At 37.5% G+C, this 20,057-nt stretch overlaps 1 long non-coding RNA gene across 1 annotated transcript in view, besides 1 other annotated feature; it reads right to left on the reverse strand.

Annotated features, from left to right (window-relative positions):
* LOC105375451 (uncharacterized) overlaps positions 1–2,897 on the reverse strand; it is a 173,872-nt gene extending 170,975 nt beyond the window's left edge. Inside the window, exon 1 of the long non-coding RNA XR_927863.3 lies at positions 2,769–2,897. This is a non-coding gene — a long non-coding RNA (uncharacterized LOC105375451). The remainder of the gene's footprint in view (positions 1–2,768) is intronic.
* Positions 2,145–3,344: an enhancer, noted in NCBI's record as "MED14-independent group 3 enhancer chr7:110174022-110175221 (GRCh37/hg19 assembly coordinates)". NCBI's record gives its function as "activates an origin of replication core promoter dependent on BRD2, BRD4, P300/CBP and CDK7 cofactors, and independent of MED14, by STARR-seq in HCT116 cells {active_cell/tissue: HCT116}" and the evidence as "EXISTENCE:reporter gene assay evidence [ECO:0000049][PMID:35650434]".

The raw sequence follows: 20,057 nt of genomic DNA on the forward strand, positions 1-20,057 counted from the left end.
AATTAGAAATTTATGTTTAGATTTACAAGATAGTATACCAATTCAAAATTATTTTATAGAAAGTTCAGGTCTTGTCTGCTGTTGCTACTTTTGTATGTGAGTGTGATATTTTTAAAAGAGAAAGCATTAGAACAGTATTTATCTTGCCAAGAATAAAAGTCAAAGTCATAGCTGCAAGAAGGATATTGAACTTTTTGTTGAAGGCCAGCTGCCAAATGCAAATTAACACCTACGAAGACATATCTGACAATTTCTTTGAATATTACTACTTTTCCACCAACCTAATAATAAGTATGAACCTAAAGCTTGATAGGTGTTCATACAAGATATAACATGTATTTGTGAATATAATATGGTAGTAAAGATAAGTATCTTTTGTAGATTTTGAGAGAAGCCTGTGGATTTTTATATTTTTATTAAATAAGTCGATAAGTAGATATTGAGTCCCCACCCCAACTGTGTAGTAATTAGAGGTATCTAATGAGAAACGGATGGCTTTTTCAGGCAATAAGTTCATTGAGAGTGAAAAGTTTATTTAAAAGCTGGATGTCCATCTGTTAGGGGACAAATATATCAAATAGATTTCCAGCCCTAATTGAATGGTAGATGTATTAGTCTGTTTTGTGTTGCAGTAAAGGAATACCTCCGACTGGGTAATTTATAAATAAAAAAAGGTTTATTTGGCTCACGGTTCTGCAGACTGTGCAAGCCTGGCACCAGCATCTGCTCAGCTTCTAGTGAGGCCTCAGGAAGCTTTTACTCAGAGTGGACGACAGAGGAGGAGGAGGCATGGCACATGGCAAGAGAGGGAACAAGAGAAAGACAGGAGGAAGTGCCAGGCTCTTTTAAACAACCCAGCTCTGGTTCTAACTAATAGAGCAAGAACTCATTCATTAGAGAAAAAACACATTTATAAGGGATCCACCTCCACAACCCAAACACCTTCCACCAGGCCCCATCTCCAACACTGGGGATCACATTTCAACGTGAGATTGGGAGGAGACAAACATCCAAACTGTATCAGTAGGGACTGCCTAAACCTCAATATGGAGAATAATTCTGATGCTACATCTAGGTTCATTAGGAACACATGCCGTAACCTCTTAGCAAAGTACGTACAAGACACAAGAGTGGGGCACGTTATTTATTCACCATTCCTGTGTAGCACTGATCTAGGTAACCACTGTTAACAATAACAAACGTCATCAATACACAATATTAATAAATTAATACCATATGTATTCTAAGCACTTTACATGTATCATCTTGTTTTATCTTAACAGCCCTCTGAAAGATGTGCTGTTATTATCCCTCTTCTGTATGTAGAGAAACTGAGGAATAGAGACATTAAATAATCCCCCAAGTGTGTATTAAATGGTAGAGGTGTTACAGTGGGTAGCTAGTCAGGCATGAACAGGGCAGGAGAAGGCTCACACACACACACACCAGGAGTGTCAGGCAACCATTAGGTGATGGTCGAGCAGTTAACTGTCTCTCTAAGGTAATAATTGGTCACAGCCAGCTCCAGGGAAAGGCAGTCTCCCAATAGATAGAAAATACCTGAAACTGGTGATCAGCAGCTTCCTAATAAGATCTCAGGAGTTGGGCTACTGGGCTCAAGCATGTGCATTAAGAGGCAAAATGGCAGAGTTTAATAGGTATATGACCTTCCTCTAGGAATGCTAGACTGGTAAGGAAGGAACGCCTCAAGTGAGCATGCGTACAACTCCAGTAAACACACTGCACATGCATCCCCTCCCAAGTACCAGCACACAACTATGCATGTGGACAGCCCACCCCAAGGAAAGAGTCAGGAGAGAAGTAACCCAAGACCCTGGAAGTATCCCAACATATAAAACTCCAAGTCAAAAGGTCGAACTGCACACTTGATCTCTCAAGTCACCCGCGTGGCCCTCTTCCAAGTGTACTTTACTTCCTTTCACTCCTGCTCTAAAATTTGCCTCGGTCTCTCCTTCTGCCTTATGCCTCTCAGTCAAATTCTTTCTTCTGAGGAGGCAAGAATTGAGGTTGCTGCAGACCCATACAGATACATTCTGCCACTAACAGAGGTAGGATATGAGTCTTGTTCTGCCTGGAATCAAAGCTGTACTCATTAGCCCTCAAAGAAGTCATGTTAGGCCCTGCCTGGCTCCCACACTCATGATAATAGAAGTAAACAGGAAGCTAAGGCCACCAACTACTTGCCCTGTTTCATTGAAAACCGATGTCCAGGAATTCAGGGAACAAACCCAACACTCATCATTGAGCCACATTTGCTATGTTTTATCAGCCTTGGCGTGCAATACTCTTAAACAGACCCCTATCTTCCAAAAAACGTAGGCCCCCTTTCTATTCTAGAATTGGCACTCAGATCCCTCTCCTGTTCCCTGTGCCTAAGTCCCCTAATAAATTGTCTCATATACTAGGCCCTTGCCCTGGGCCTCACCTTCTTCTTGCTAGGTTCTTACCAACACCGAATCCTGGACCCACACCCAGTGTCTACGGCCACTGCAGCTAGATCTGTGTTCTTGCCATCAACCCAGAGGGTGACAGAGCTCACAGAGCCCCACATGCCTGGTTTGACTACCCCACACAGCAGATAACTCAGCATCCTGGGCTCTGAGCCAAGGAGTGGTGAGATAACCCCTGAAGACACTTCCAACTCTAACATTCTACCCTGTAAGCCTGAATACTCAGTCATAAGCTAAGAAGATATTTTTTTAATGTTAAAAAAAAAAAGAAAGAAAAGAAAAATAGGTTTAACTTACAGTCCTAGGTTGTACTGAGTCAAGGCCAGGGTATCGTCTTAGAACACAGAGAGTTGACAATTAAATAAACACGAAGAATACCAGGCTTCTCCCCGGGGCCTGGGCAGGGTTAGACAGTGAAATAAGCACAAGCCCGGGCTTGTCAGCCTGGAACAAGGAGGCATCTGCCTAGAGTTAGCCTAATATTTGCTGAGTAACTCCTGCATTCTCTCACCAGGAGGCACAACATCTAGAGACAGCACCAGACAAAACTGAGATGTCAATAGAGATCTTCAAAGTCAGCGAATGTCTCCTTCTCTCCACCCTTTGTCCTACTTAGTGAATTATCTGAGATCAGGAGTTAAACAGACTTGGGCTGAAATCCAAACTCTGCTATTTACCAACAATGGACAAGTCATTTAAACTCTTTGAGCCTTAACTTCTCAACCTGTAAAATGGATATGATGCCTATCTCACAGCAATGTTGTAAAGATTAAATGTTACTAGCATGTTTGGCACCCTGTAGGATTTCAGTAAAAGTTATTATAATTCTTCTTTCCTTATCCCCTGCTTCAGCCCAACCCTTTAGTACCAGAGATCTTCCTACTGTCTTTAGTTACTCAAAGTTTCCCATGCAAATTTTCCTCCTGTCACTTTATATTACTTAGATGGACAAACTCCTAAATCACCTATTTTTCCTCCCTACTTACTACCTGCCAAAATGCTGATAACTTTAATGCTAATGAGTAATCTTTCATAGTAAAAACATTATAGAGAAAACCTCTTACGGTTTTACTGGCTTCCCAAACACTGCCCTAAACTTCAAAGAGTTTAAAGTCCAGAAGGTAGAAAAAAGGACCCCAACCCTTAGCAGAGCACTACCACTTTAATCCATCTTATTTATTACATTTCTGGATTAAGCTTTCATTTAGAATATGTAATAGATTCTCCCCATTTTTAAAAAGTGAAAGAAGAAAAACTCCTGCTTTATAATATTAGGGGGATCTTCAAGTCTCATGAAAACCCTAATTCACATTAAATCTATTTTCTCTAAATCTGGCTTTATTAGAAAAGCCTGTTAGTATCCATTATTGAATAATGCCATCTCCTTGAATGAATCAAAGAGGGAGAGCCAATATAGAATCTTAAAGGTATCAGAAAATAAATCTATTTTCATCAGTCCACTGCAGCTTTCCAGTGGCCCTGTGTGTAGCATGTCAGATGCCCTCATTCTTAGAAGTTTATTATTTTTAGATTGTGCCTAATTTAGATCCTTCTACAAAATTATGACCCACTTCACCATCCATGAATTTCTACTGGGAATGTGCAAGTGGGAAGAGTAGAAAGGATGGGCTTTTAATGATGTGGATATTCGAAATAGGTTGTTGAATGCTTTTTTCTAATTCAAAATGAAGAAAGATTTACAAAAAACAAAACCTCTACTACATATGAACATTAACTGGCTGTCTGCCAAGTCTTCTAGATTCCCTCAGAATAAGAGCCCAATATGGACAAGGGGAAACCACTCTCCGTCAGGTTCATGAGGAATACCTGGGCTCTGATAAGTTCATTCTCAGTGTATGTATGTAAAATTAAGATGATAGAACATGACATTAAAAGGTGATAATTATATATATGACTTCATTAATGAGAAAAAAGGGTTTCTTCACTTTCAATTAATCATGTTATATTTTATTGCATAATATTATACACATTAGTAAATGCTGAGTCAATATCTTAGATTAATTCCTGATGACAATAAGAAAGAAAATTGATCAGTTACTCTTAGGCACGTACAGTGATTTTTCTCAGTTCACTTGGAAGCAGGTATTAACTTATTACTGCAGTGGATGAAGGAGTAACTTAATGACTGGGAAAAAATACGGTGATGGAGTATTAATAGTAAAGTTACAACATTAATTAAAATGTAAATAGTATATCTAATTATTCATGGTAATTTACACTAAATTTAGCAACTTCTGTGTGCCTAAAACAAACATAGAAGGGGACCTCTAAATTCCTTTTCTTTTCTTTTATACGGAAACTGAAGTCTCCAAAGATTAAGAAACTTGCTAAGGTCACATAGCTAGTAAGTGGTAAGGACACTGTTTTAGCCTGGGCCTTTGTGAATCTAATCTTGTTGCTGTTCTGAGAGCATGCACTGCTGTTTCCTGTGCAGTCCCTCCTCAAACTGTCCACTATAACTCTATCCATGGAATCACTCCCTCAGCCATAATATAGTTGGGTCCATTAAGTAGCCTGAGCCTCTGACCAAAAAATATTCTTGTTAAATAGCTGAGATGTCACTCTGGACCTTCTGCAAAGGAAATGGTTTCCTTTTCTTCTCTTATTTGGCTCTGTCTTCTCCAGTCTTTCTGTCTACAAACACACCAATCCCACACCATCACCGTCACCATCTCACACACACACTCAGTTTAAAAATCTTCCCCTTTCTTGCTATCATCTCAAACTCAAGTTCTATTTTTTTATCCTTGCTACTAACCTTCTTTCCAATAGTCTATATTCATTTTTTCTATTCACTCCTAAATCTCTTACATTCTAACTTCTACTCCCAATGCTTTTTCGCACTGTACTTTCAAAGCCTTTCTTTTTACCAAATTTAAGGGAAGTTTCTTGGAATCCTCATCCACTTGACATTTTTGTGTCTTGGGTAGACATCTCCTTTTTCTCCAAACCCCTTGTTTCTCTGGTTGGTTCTCATGAGACTGTGTTAGTAGGTTTATCTTGGTATGTTCTCCTTCTTCCTTGATGGGCCCCACATGAAGATGATCCCCAGAATTATGTTCTCAGCCCTCTTGTCCCTATACAGTAGCCCATGGTGATGTCATTCCCTGCAAAGTCCTTAACTATCACTTCTCAGGAGATGATTCCCAAGCTCATTGCACTAACTTCAGCCTCTCTTCTAAACCTCAGACTTGTATTTCCAGCTGCCTTTTGAACATATCTAAGTGATATGTTAATATCCAAACCACAAACTCGGTATGTCATAAATCTAATTCATCTTCTCCATGAGAAAAACTTAACCTGGCTTTGTAATATTTCCTCCTCAAATAAGATCAAATTTTGGAGTTACCCTTGACTCTTCTCTTTTCACAATGTCTTGTAAAAATCTGTTTTGCTAAGTCATATAAATTCAATTTTCTCATTGTTTATCTCTTTCTAGCTTCTGTATTGGCCTTTCTACCATTAGTATATCCTTTTCCAAATCTACTGTATACATTGCTGTTAGATAAATCTCTCCTAATCACAGCATCAATAACAACATCAATCATAAACATTTAATGATCATCTACTTTGTACAATGAGCAACATCATTATCTTATCAGATTATCATAATTCCTGGAGGTAGGTACTAAAAATCTTTATTTTTATTGTAGAGAGGAAGATAAATGTTCCAAGAAATATAATCTTGCTCAAGGAAATTCATCACATAAAGAGCAGGCTATGGATTTACATCCATGGTCTATCAGATACCCACGCTCATGTACCAAATCATCTGCCTGTCAAAAGCTTTCAAGGGCTCTTCTGCCTGTTTTCCTTTCCTGTCACTCCAGTTCCCCATCTGCAAAGTCCCAATAAACCTTCCCAGCGTGGTTTTTCACTGATGCCCTCTAAATAGCCTACAATTGAATCCAATTCTAGTTCAGCACTCCCAACCCTTTCAATTCATTGCAATCTGTAATCTCTGTTTAGACTCTACCCAATATAACTCTTTTATCAAGATTCTACCTCTTCTTTAAGACCGATCTCAAAGCCCCATCCTCCAGAAAGCCCTTCCTTGTTCTCTGTGTTAAGTGAAATCTCTCCCTTTCTGAGTCTGTGCAGTACTATTTTTGAGATGAGAAATTTCTCATTTTGTGCTTTATATTATTTTTATGTCTGCCCCTTTTATATCCTTCAACAAAAGGTAAATTCCTTGAGAACATGGACTCAACCTGACATATCTGGGTGTCCTCTGTAATTATTGCACCAGGGCCTCTGGAAGTGTGCACTAGACAATGCATGTAAGTTCTGTTCAAGCTCTGCTGAACTAAAAACCAGAAGTCCTAGGATTCTGAAGCAAATGGGCATCTGGCCTAGTTCCTGATTTTACTTTAGCTTTCTTTTCATAAAACAATTCTCTGATCTATTTAAAATCTCAATTCTAATTCTACTATTTTTCAGCATTTCTTTTATCCCAAAGGAGACCCCCTTCCTCAATGAATAACATCACTCCAGTCACAGAGTAAAGAACTGGCACTTTTATTCCAAAGCACTCTTTACATAAAGCCCAAAATAACCTTGAACTCTCAATTTGCCATTTCCTATTGTGCTTCTTTCCAATGCAGTTAGCAAATCAAAGGGAAACCATTTTTTAAATGCTTATCTTTTAGGTTGTTCTCACTTGGATGACAATAAGACACCATGATATTTTTTTTTTACTAGTCATGTTCTTGTTGCAATGCAGAGCCCCCACTGAATTCTTCTGAATATAGTTCAGTTATATCTTTTGCCACTTAACATCATTTATAATCTCTATAAATAATTCTGAATTAAGTATGCAAAGTATATTAAAAATATCACTTTCATCTGCTTCTTACATAATGCAAAACTGTTTTTCCAAACAGTGCAGTGTGTCTTTTACTAGAGCAGTGCTTTGCCTAAATATAAACATGGAATTTAAGAATACTCCTATGTGAAATTCCTCATTTTTTTCTACTTTTTATTTATTTTTTAGCACACTCCAGCCTCATATATAAAATTCTTTAGATGACCTGGTTCTTGTGAAAGCAAGAACACACACATCATTCTGCTCATGGCATTTTTATGTAAACCTACTGTGGTGAATCCAGACTGAGTGTTAAAAATGTTACTCAACCCTCAAGCTCTAGCTGTTTGTATGAATGGATGGGTCATTTGGCCAGGCTCTCTTATTACTAATATCCACAAGTAAATGGGTTTATTAACATGATAGTTACTTATTAGTAAATAAACAAAATTATCAAACTTGTAAATATTATACTTAATTTTTCTTTTTCTTTTTGTAACCCTTATTGGAGGATCAATTTCCTTCCATAAAAGTGACGTTTCCTAAAATATTGCATTATATATTTTCATTTCCTAATGCTATTGAATTTACTAATATGATTCATCATTTTTAATCAATGAAATTGTGTTGTGGTTTGGCTAAACAGCAACTAAGGTTTAATTAAGTTTTTAGCTTCTGTGAAGGGAAAATCATCATTCTTATAAGGAAAAGAAAAATTGACCACTTGGGAGATTTTAGGAAATTAAAACATGCAACAATTTGACTGGGCATTATTTCTTTGATAAGCTTTTCCAACATATCAATGTAAGAGCATTACATTTTTCAACGTCATGTTAATATGCAAAGAGGAAACAATGATTGTCCAAATATTTGATGTGTCTAAATGACTCAGTCTCTTAAGCCAAGAAAATGAAAAGAACACCTGTTTCACGTTTCTGTTGTAAGAATCATGAATGACGTATCAAAATTTTTGTAACTTATAGAGTTCTATAAAGATATGAAAGACATCCTTTTCATCAACCACTCTGTACAAATGAAAGTTCATTATATTTAGATTTTTTTTAGGCATCAGTTTTTTGTTTTTAATAAATTGCTATTTCCAACAAGATCTTTACCTTTGTCCAGACAAAATGAAGAAATACATACTTTTTTCTTGGAACTTTGAATAATATTTACTGGTATATTAACAATTATATTTTCTGAAGGACCAATTTCATTAAATGTATATGTCAAGCTGCCTAGCGGAAAATAATTTATATTACCTGGAGAGGTAAAATAAATCAAAAGTCAGGTAGTCCAGTGGTCTACTGGACAGGCTTTTGAATCAGAGACCCAAGTTCAAATCATTTCTCTAGGACGTATAAGCAGTGTGACATTGGCCAAGTTACTTAATGACTTTAAACCTGAGTAAATACCTATCCCACAGGATTGTAGCAAGAATTTCTGTAAAGCACTTAGCCCAATACACCCAATAGATTGTAGCTACCATACAATTGTGAAAAGCAATGTATTTGTTTCCAACACCATGTTACTTGTTTCTCAAAACACCTCTGTAGAATGCATAAGGCAGGTAGAATACATTGAAGACTTCTACAGCTGGATCAGTAACAGAAATCTGCTAATCTCCAGACCTCCGTATCCAACAGGTACAGACCATATCTTCTCAGATATGCTATAAGCATGTCAAACTCTGCAAGTTAAAGACAAGTTCATTGCATTACTTTAAAATAACCTGCATTTATACCTCTATTTTCTCTTTGTGAATGGTTCCAGTATTCTCCCATCTGGCCCAGATGATTTGGGGAATCAGCCTTGACTTCAACTCACTTATCTCAGTGCCAATCCATCCAGTCACCTGGACCTGCCCATCTACCTCCTTAATTTCCCTTAAATAATTTACCTTCTCCTCATCCCACTGCAGCAACCTTAGTTCAGGTCTTCACTGTTCCTCTATTGGCTCCCAGCTGGTCACTCTAACTTGTCTTAGCAACCTCCCCATGCTGCTACAAAAGTGATCTTTCTAAAATGTTCACTAACCCCTTCATGATTTGCTTCACTCTCTTCCTCTACTCACATTCTTTGTTCAAACTATATGGAGTTAATTTGAACTTCTCCAGATACATCATATTATTTAATGCCTCTGTGACTTCGTACCTACCACTGCCTCAATCTAGAATACTCTTCCACCATTTCTCATTAATTCTGTTTGTCTTTCAAATCTCAACTCAGGGACTTTCTCCTTCATGAAGACTTTGCTGACCCCACCAAAGTGTCTTAATTACCCCTTTGGGCACCAGTTGCCCCTTGGGCATTGTATCTATTATGAAATTCTGCACAGTGCTTACTACTCTATATTATATGCCCTTTAGAGGCAGGCATCAAGGTTTTTTGGGTTGTTTGCTTATTTGTTTGTTTGTTTGTTTTGTCTCTGTCTCTAGCCAAGAGTATGACAAATGCATCAATTTTTATATATCATACATCAAATGTCAAAGGAGGAAAAGAAAATAAGCTAAGGAAGTCTAAAATACTGGTGATATCTCATAAAGTATTCCCATCAGTTAGCTCCTATAGGAAAACAACACCAGTATAAAAGAGCCAAGAAATATTTATCTTACAAAATCCCCTTTAGACACTTTATTTGGAAAGGTAAAAGGAATTTGGTGGATAAAGTAGAAACCGTAATGCAAGATGGGTTAAAAGTGATTCTTTTTTATTGTTTTGATGAGCAAGCTTTTGTTTTTTTTGTTTGTTTGTTTGTTTTTTGTTTTTTTCCCTTTGCATTTGGATAAAACTCTTTAATTTGGGAAAGGTAAAATGCCAAATATCCAATAATGAAATAAAGCTTACTAATAGAGACATAGTCATTAAAACAGTGAATTCTAAATGTAATGTGGAACCTGATGGTAAGCATATTTCTCAGATTATTCCAGACGTTGGAATTTTAAAATACTATAAGTGGAATGAATACTTTCGTACCACATAGGAGGTATCTATTCATTAACTGTAAAAACAGTGACTAATCATTTGCAATAACTGCACCTTTATGAATTTGTCTTTTCTTAATTACTAACATTCCTTTGAAATGATGAATATGAAAGAAACATTCTTGAGTAAGATCCTAAAAGCCTACTTAGGTCTTTTAGATAAACAAGACATGATTTTTCATGAGATCTAATATCCACTTTTTTTCCTCAGAATGGTAGCACATTGAAATCTGAGCAACCATATAAATTCATACTTATGCTACTTATTACTAAGGCAATGGTGTTTTCTGCTTTGTACTGCAATGTAAAAATAAATTCTTTTCTAAATTTTTGATTGTTTCATAGCTTAATGGAAAGTAGCCTATGTCAAATGTTACTTTTGTTTATCTGGTAGGTTTGTACAGAATAGCAAAAATCATTGATGTTTCTTTTGCATAAAAAATCTTTGGTTTCAACCGAAAATAAAAAAAACTTTGGAAGTATAGTCTACCAACCAGATTATTTGCTGGCTTTTTTTGATACAGTAGATGCCACAGCACAGCAAGATTCTATTGATATCTAACAGGAATGTAAATAAAAGGGCTTGCCAATTGGAAGCACTGTAGCCCAAGGGGCAGGAACATGTGACTGTGCATACATGTGCATACACACATACCTACATGCATAGCTCTTGACAGCCCAGAAAAAACAAGAGAACTTCCCAGGTCCCTTTTGATCCCTAACTCTTCCATTGTAAAATCTAGTGAGATACACTGCTAGTCTGTCTACTGTGGACTCCAGCTTTCTGTCTTTTTCTGTGCCCCTTTCTTTAAATCTCTCTATGGTTCACAGTTCAGAATTACGTTTAGGCTCATTCTAAAAACCACTAGAACCCCATCTCTTGAGGATGAAGCTGAAAATATGGGGCAAGGGTATGTTATAAAATGTTTGAATATTAATCTTCCACACTAATTCCAATTTTTAATCAATTACTATGTGCAATCCAAGAACTTTGATCCAAGAGTCTTAAGTGCAAGGCACATCTGAGAGACTGTCAGGTCTTGATATACAATGAGAGTCAGTCTGGCCTAATGGGAAATGAGATTTAAACTGGCACATATTCTTATACATGGAGACTGTAGAATAAGACAGGAACCCCAATAAATCTAACTCTCAATCATACTTACCTCCAGAAGATTTTCCCTACAAAATCTCATGCCTGCTAGCCTCATGATAGAAGCCACACCTATGGCTGAATCTATGGCAATTTCCCCAAGGACAATTAAGTGAGGCTCTAATTAAGGAATCACCTAAACCTGACTTGGGCTCAAATAACCCTTATCTGAAATTGAATAAACAAATTCATACCTTAAAATAGCATGGGATAATTTAATAGTAAAGGTCTAGCACACTCCATTGAGAACTAGTCAATGCCAGGATTATAGCGTCACTTGGCATTTGGTTAACCTTGAGAAGAGAAGGAGACTTTTTTTCTATATAATAATCATTAATGGTATTAAAATTATTCAATGCTATGTGTTCAAGCCACTTACTGCTGGGGTTTCTGGGATTCAGAACCCTTTGGAGGTAGACTAGTATCTGAGGGGAAATTACATGAAACCCCCAAAAAACCTGTGAGTTGCTTTATTGAGTAAGGTGATAATAGTGGGATAAGAAAGACAGTAATGAGAGGGTGAAGAGAGAGAGTGTATAGGGTCACCAAACAGGAAGTCAAAAGGCTAGAGTTCTAAATAATGGCATGACCTTAGCCGAGGCACTTCGACTGTTGAGTATTTATTTGCAACTCTTCAGAAAGAGGGGACTGTAACTTCCATTTCTAGCAAAGGCCATTGAGGAAACTTTCTCTCTACTGGTAAGTGGATATACAGGGTACAATATAACTTACGAATCATGCTTGAGATTTTTTAGAGTGGTGAAAAGAAAGCAAAATTCTCAGATAGCAAGCAAGAAAACAAAGTTGAAAGCCAGAGTGGCAGCTCTGGAGTCTCAGGAATGGCAGGAGGTAACTTTTTACTCCCCCATGGGACACATTAGGAGACCTTGGGTGTTGAGGAGAAGTAGGTATTAAAATCTTGCATAAATCTAGGCCCCTCTGAGGGTTGCAATTCTAGTAAGGAAGGCCTAATACATCCTCAAACCTACAGCTCAAGGAAAAGACAAGGAAACTGCTCTGTATCCTGGCTCTAGATGAAAAAATAAAAGCCTTTAGAGAGAATTGTAAACTCTAGTTTTATGTTTCTCATGAGTTTGGAATGCAAATTTACATTAGACATGTGGTGCAGGAAACTCCAAGGCCAGAAATTGATAACAGCAACAACAAAAATGGCCCTGTAGTGGTGCTACACTCAAGCCTGCCTGTAGCAGAAATACATGCAAAACTGCTGTGGAGGGACCTTTCACCACCCAGCTTTGTAGTCATCCCACAGAGAAAAAACAATTTTCCTCATTGAAAACTCAAAATCACGTTCAAAAATTTCAAAGCCCCAAAGGAAGCCTTCTGCAACAAGGGGCTCAGCATACACGAAAACCAGGCAATTAGTACCCCAAGATCTCAAATTTTAGAACCATAATTTAGTGAGGTAATTATGCATTGGATTGTGTTCCCCCTCAAAATTCATATGTTGAAGTCCTAACTCCAAGTATCTTACAATGTGACCTTATTTGGAAATAGGATCATTGCAAATGTGACAGGATAAGGTCATGCTGAAAAGAGTGGGAACCTAATCCAATATGACTGGTGTTCTTTTAAGAAAAGGAAATGCAGACACAGAGTCAGACACACACACAGGGAGAACAGCACAGGAACATGGAGGCAGAGGCCAGAGCTATGCTTCCACAAGTCAAGGAAGGCCAGAGATTCCAGCAAAGCACGAGCAGATAGATTCCTCCTCACAACTTTCAGGTGCTGACACCTTTTTTTCAGACTACTAGCCTTCAGAATTGTGAAATAATAAATGACCATTGTTTAAGCCTCTTTGTTAAGCAGCCCTAGAAAATCAATTCAAAAATTATAAAGTAGGTGATATGGTTTGGCTTTCTGTCCTCACCCAAATCTCATCTTGAATTGTAATCCTCATGTGTGGAGGGAGGGACCTAGTAGGAAACAGTTGGATCATGGGGGCCGTTTCCCCGATGCTGTTCTTGTGATAGGGAGTGAGTTCTCATGAGATCTGATGGCTTTTGTAGTGTTTGGCAGTTCCCCCTCCCCATCTCTCTCTCCTGCTACCATGTATGATATGCCGTGCTTCTGCTTTACATTCCACCATGATTATAAGCTTCCTGAGGCCTCCCCAGCCATGCAGAACTGTGAGTCAATTAAACTTCGTTTGTTTATAAATTAACCAGTCTCAAGGAGTTCTTTAAAGCAGTGTGAAAACTGACTACTATAGTAGGTATGCTAAAAATGAGTAAAGAGATGCAGAAATGTTAAAAAAAAAATACAAGAAAAAAAGACATTGCAAAAAAATAGATGTTGCATAAGGATAAATATAGATGTTCTCAATTAAAATCTCCATAAGCAGGTTAACCATTATGTCAAGCACAACTAAATAAACTCATTTATATTGATATATTAGTGAGGATACTAGCTAGATTGCAGCAAGAATGATAAAGAGATTAAAATTTGAAATAAAGAGTATAAAATGATAGGGTCTAATATCAAGCCAAATAGGAGACACAGAAGGAGAAGATAGAGAAAATGGAGGATACTCCAAGAAGTAACAATAAACAAGAATTTTTCAGAGTTCATGAAAAATATCTGTCTCCCAATTGAAGAAACTTTACTTGATCTAAGGTAGAATAAATAAAAATAAATTCCCAACAATATGATTATAGGGAAACCATAGGAGATCTAAAAGCAGCTAATGAGAAAAGATAATTCACTTAAAAAGAGATAACAATTAGACCGACAGCTGACTTAACAACAGCAGTGGAAGAGGACAGCAGAAAAAACTAACTTTAATGTGCTGAAAGATAATTAACTGTCAATACTAGCATTCTACATGTAATTGCCTAAAGGTTGTATTTCTGAAAGAAAATTGAATACAAAATGAAAGAAGCAATAAGGAGCAAAGGAATTAAAAGCATGTAAGTAAATTTAAATCCAACTATAATACACATTTGGTTGAACCCTATTGGTAATTACATGTGATTTGATTTACTTGTAATGACTAACTTTGAGGATGTTAAAAGTCAAATGAATGGGTGTATATATTTGACAATATTCACCCAATTGTACACTTAACATGTATGCATTTTATTTTATGTAAATCATGGCCCAGAAGTTTATTTTTAAAACAAACAGAACCGAAAAGGTATATAACAACAAATTAGATAAAGGGAAGGATGATGTTTTAGGCATTCTAATATATTAAATTGTTAGAGAGGAGTATAGGGATATGGCTAACTTTAGATTGTATCAAGGTGCACATGCACATTGAATATTCAAAGGTACTACTAAAAGAATGATGGGAAAAGAATGTAAGTCCTAAGGGTAAGGGATGGTGTGCTCTTCATTCTTCCTTTGGTGTGACTTTACAAAAGTAACACAGGCATGGAAATCTTGCAGCAGTAACCAGTCAGGAGGAGTCACATAGATAATCTGGAAAGCCGTTATTAGAAAGTAACTTAAATGAAAACAAAAAATAGAGAACAGACATACAGATACTTGAGGATATGCTTACAGGTCAGAAATCAAGAGTTTTTTTTTTAAGATAATGAAGGAGAAACGCCAAGCAATTCACGATCTCACAGAACACAGAAAATAATAAGATGCAATAGGGCTGGAATAGGGACATTGTTGCAGTTTGGTATTAAAAAAGTGAAAATTAGGAGAATGCATAGGTGCCTGTAGACAAAGCAATTTATTGATCACAGTTAATAGATACATGATTACAAGAATTTGGAGAAGGAGAAAACTTCTGTAAATTTCTAGGTCAGTTTCTTTATTTAACAGATGAATACACAGGGGTCTGGAGAGGCTAGTAATTCATGCTACAACATTTGTATTCCTGAACAATCAACTGCTACCATATTCTTTCGTCCAATAGTAATTACATTTTTCACACCAGAAACAAAGATTTATGTAACACCTTGAAAAATACGTTTGAAAAAATGTGCTATTCAGGACAATTATTTCAGTTAAGATAGCTAATTGGGTACTTACAGTAGTTAGTGTATTTGCACACTTAATTAACTATAATTTATTTAAAAGTATTCTAATATGAAAATACTGGGAGAGGCATTTGAGGCTTAAACTATTCTTTTAAAAAGTTTTATTTTTGTTCATTTCTTTTGCAGTACCAAGTAGAAGTAAAATCTTATTCCATTAAAGGAAAATCATCAAGTGGAACTAAAAATACAAAATGAAAAAAGTGAGTAGGGATAAAATGTTGAAACTAAATAAAAACAGATCATTTGCCACTCTTTCAAAGATTACAAAAAAAACAATTTAATCTAAGTAAGGATAAGTTTCAAATAAAATATAATAATAATAGCTGTGTGATATGGTAGAAAGTGTTGCAAACGAAGACTGTCCAGATTTTAACACCACTTTATCACTGACAAAGTCCTTATGTCGCTTGATCTCAGTATTCTCAACTGTGCAACAGGATTTTGTGGTTACCTTCAAACTCTAAAATTCTGAGATTCTAATGAATTACAGATGCTCTTCAACTTATGATGGGGTTACATTCTGACACACCCATAATAAGTTGAAAATATTGCAAACTGAAAATGCGTTTAATACAAATGCACTTCTACCAAAGATCATAGCTTAGCACATCCTACTTCAAATGTGCACAGAACACTTAAAAGTAGCCTACAGTTTGGCAAAATTATCAACATAAAGTCAGTTTTATAATAAAGTGTCGAAAATCTCATAATTGTTATATACTGTGCACTGTAGAGTACAGTATCAGTTGTTTACCCTTGTGACCATGTAGCTGACTGGGAGCTGTAGCTCACTGCTGCTGCCCAGCATCACAAAAGAATATCGTACCTTACATTGTAAGCCCAGGAAAAGATCAAAATTCAAAATTGTATGCATATTCGAAGTACTGAATGTGAGTGACCTTCACACCATCATAAAATTAAAAATTCCTGTCAAACCATCTTAAGTCAGTGACCGTGTGTAGTTTGATTAAATGAAAACACTTTTCACTGGGGCCAGTTTATCACCTAATAGGTCTGGATCTTCATTCAATCAACTTAGATGGCCTATGTATCCACCTTTGGTTTATGGTAACATGTGCTTATTACTAAATGCCCAAATATTATCTGTGGAGCTAGGAAAAGCAACTGGAGGTGTGTGCAGCTGCAACTGACATATATGAATGTATTTACTCTACCAGGTTGGGAGGTAGGGAAAGCAAAAGCCTCATTATCTTCCTATTTAAGAAACAAACCCTGTAAGGAAGTGCCCTATACATAGTTATTGAATGTTTCATGCCCAGATACTTAACATCTCTGGAATCTGCCTCCTGCTCTCCATTCTTACTGCCATGCCTTAAGTCTGGCCCTGTCAGTTCTCACCCAGAGGCTATAGCCTCCTAATTAGTCTTGCCCTCCTCCCTGCTTTCTCTTTTTCTCTACCAAACCATTTCTCTCAAGGCTATCAGAAGGAGCATGAGCATATCTAAATGAGATTGTGTAAAAGCCTTCAATGGCTGCCCAATACTTCCAAGTAAAGTCCGAAATCCTTAGAGTGGCATCCAAGATCATTAAAGATCTGATTCATGCCTATTTCTCTAGAGTCATCTCTTACTGTTCCCATTTCTTTTTTTTTTTTTTAATTGTACAAGTCAATTCTTTATCCATTCCAAACTATTGCCAGAAGCAGTAAACTTGCACTCACTGCTGCCTTCCTGAGAGTCTCTGCTTTTTCCATTCTGCGTATTCCTTTTCCACTTGGTTTACTCCTAGACTTACCTAATTCCCTCCCTGCCATTTATTTAGGTAAGATGTCCAGAGTACTGTGTGGATACTTATTGGAACTTACCACACTGCACTGTAATAGTTTACTTTTTACCATTGGACTATAGACCCTTGAAGTCAAGAACCACATCTTATTTATCTGTATTCTCTGTAGCTACTATAATTTTTATCTGTGAGATGAATATAAGTAATATTTCATAAACGAATAATTATCTACTTCAGTACATTGTCACAAGATGATCCCTCCTCAAACACAAAACTCTTCACACAAAACCCGGAATACTCAGATTTAAATATTTATACCTTTGTTGCAACTTCAAAAATTCTAAGTTACATATGTATGAATAATGGGTTATGGCAATAAAAGGTTATAGCAATCTGAGAGAAATAAAATGAAAAACATAACATGTGGATAAAGAATATATTTTCTGAAATAGAGCTTTTCATGGAAACTAAGTGACATAACCTGAATACTTCCTGATAGTGAATAAAAATTTGTCAGTAACTATTATTATTATATTAATGTATAGCCTTTACTAAAAGGGTGATATGTTTCATTCTATTGTAAAATGTAACAATATTGATAAGGATGTCTTCAAAATATTGTTTCATTAAAAAACACTAGTTGTGAATAGCAGGTGGAGAACAGTGCCTGTGATTTTAAGATCAAGAGTAGATATGATTTCACATCAATTGTTCTGAGTTCATTACATTTTTAATTACAACAAAAGAGGTTTAATTGGCTCACAGTTCTGCAGACATTACAGGAAGCCTGCAGATAGTGGCATCTGCTTCTGGGAGGCCTTAGGAAGCTTCTAATCATAGTAGAAGGCAAAGGGAAAGCAGGCACATCGTGTGGTGAAAGCAGGAGCAAGGATTGGCAGGGAAGGTGCTGCACACTTCTACATAAACAGATCCTGTGTGAACTCAGAGCTAGAGTTCACTTACCACTGAGGGGATGGCCTAAGCCATTCATAAGTAATCAGCCCTCATGATCAAAACACCTCCCACCAGGCCCCACCTCCAATATTGGGGATTACATTTAAACATGAGATTTGGGTGGGGACAAACATACAAACTATATAATTCTGCCTCTGGTCCCAAAAATCTTATGTCCATCTCAATTGCAAAATACACTCATGCCTTCTCAACAGTACCCCAAAGTCTTAACGCATTCCAGCATCAACTCAATCAAAATTCCCAAGTTCAAGGTCCAAAGTCATAGATGGAGATGAGTTTCTTCCACAAATGAATCTTTAAAATCAAGACAAATTATTTACCTCCAAGATATTGGGTAAGCATTCCCATTTCAAAAGGGAGAAATTGGCCAAAAGAAAGGGGCTACAGGCCCCATGCAAATCCAAAACCCAGAAGGGCAGTCATTAAATCTTAAAATTCCAAAATCATCTCCTTTGACTCCATGTCCCATGTCCAGGGCACACTGGTGTACAGGGAAGAATAACAAGGCCTTGGGATAGATTCCATGCAAGGAGTAGACTCCATGTCCCATGTCCAGTGCACACTGGTGCAAGGGGTAGAATCCCAAGGCCTTGGTAGATTCCCAAGAATCCACCCTTGTGGCTTTTCCATGCTGAGGTTGCAAACTACTGGTTATTCTACCATTCTGGGGTCTGGAGGATGGTGGCCCCTATCCCACAGCTCCACTAGGCAGTGCACCAGTGGGAACTCTATGTGGAGCCTCCAACCACACAGTTCCCTTCCACACTGCCCTAGTAGAGGTTCTCTCTATGGGTGCCACCCCTGCAGCAGGCTTCTGTCTGGACACCAAGGCTTTCTTATACATCCTCTGAAATCTAGGCAGTGTCTGGCCTCCTTTACTTTCACACTCAGCATGCCCACAGGATTAACACCACATGGAAGTCACCAAGGCTTATGGATCACACCCTCTGGAGCTGCAGCCTGAGCTGTACCTGGGGCCCTTGAAGCCAAGGCTGTAGCCAGAGCAGCCAGGATATTAAGGAGCGGCCTCCTGGGTGATACAGAACAGTGCTGCCCTGGGCCTGGTCTCTGAAGCCATTCTTTCATCCTAGGCTTCTGGACCTGTAAAGGGAAGGGCTGCCTCAAAGGTCTCTGAAATGCCTTTGAGGCCTTTTTCCCATTGTCCTCGCTATTTGCACTTGGCTGTTTTTTAGTTATGCAAATTTCTCTAGCAAGTAGTTTCTCCACAGCCCTCTTGTGTTCTTCCCCTGAAAATATGCTTTTCATTTCTACCACATAGTCAGGCTGCCAAGTTTCCAAACATTTGTGTTCTGCTTCCCCTTTAATTATGAATTGCAACTTTAAGTCATTTCTTTGCTCCTATGTCTGAACATAGGCTCTTAGAAGCAGCCATGCTACCTTTTAAATGCTTTGATGCTTAGAAATTTCTTCCACCAGAGACACCCTAAATCATCACTCTTGAGTTCAAACTTCCACATATCCCTAGGGTATGGACACAATGTAGCCAAGTTCATTGCTAAAGCGTAACATGGGTGACCTTTGCTCCAGTTCCCAGTAAGTTCCTCATTTCCATCTGACACCCCATCAACGTGGACTTTACTGTTCACATATTACTTTGAATGGCAAAAACCACAGTTACCTTTGCACCAACCTAATACTATTAGCATTTTGGTCACAACCATTTAACCAGTCTCTAAGAAGTTCCAAACTTTCCCTCATCTTCCTATCTTCTTATGAACCTTCCAGCTTCTTCTAACCTCTGCATGTTACCCAGTTTCAAAGTCATTTCTACATTATGAGGTATCTTTATAGCAATGCCCTCCTCAGTACCAATTTTCTGTGTTAGTCAATTATTGCACCACTGTAAAGAACTACCTGAGAATG

The sequence above is a fragment of the Homo sapiens genome, chromosome 7 (assembly GCF_000001405.40).
Source record: "Homo sapiens chromosome 7, GRCh38.p14 Primary Assembly".
In the NCBI taxonomy this organism is placed as follows: Eukaryota; Metazoa; Chordata; class Mammalia; order Primates; family Hominidae; genus Homo; species Homo sapiens.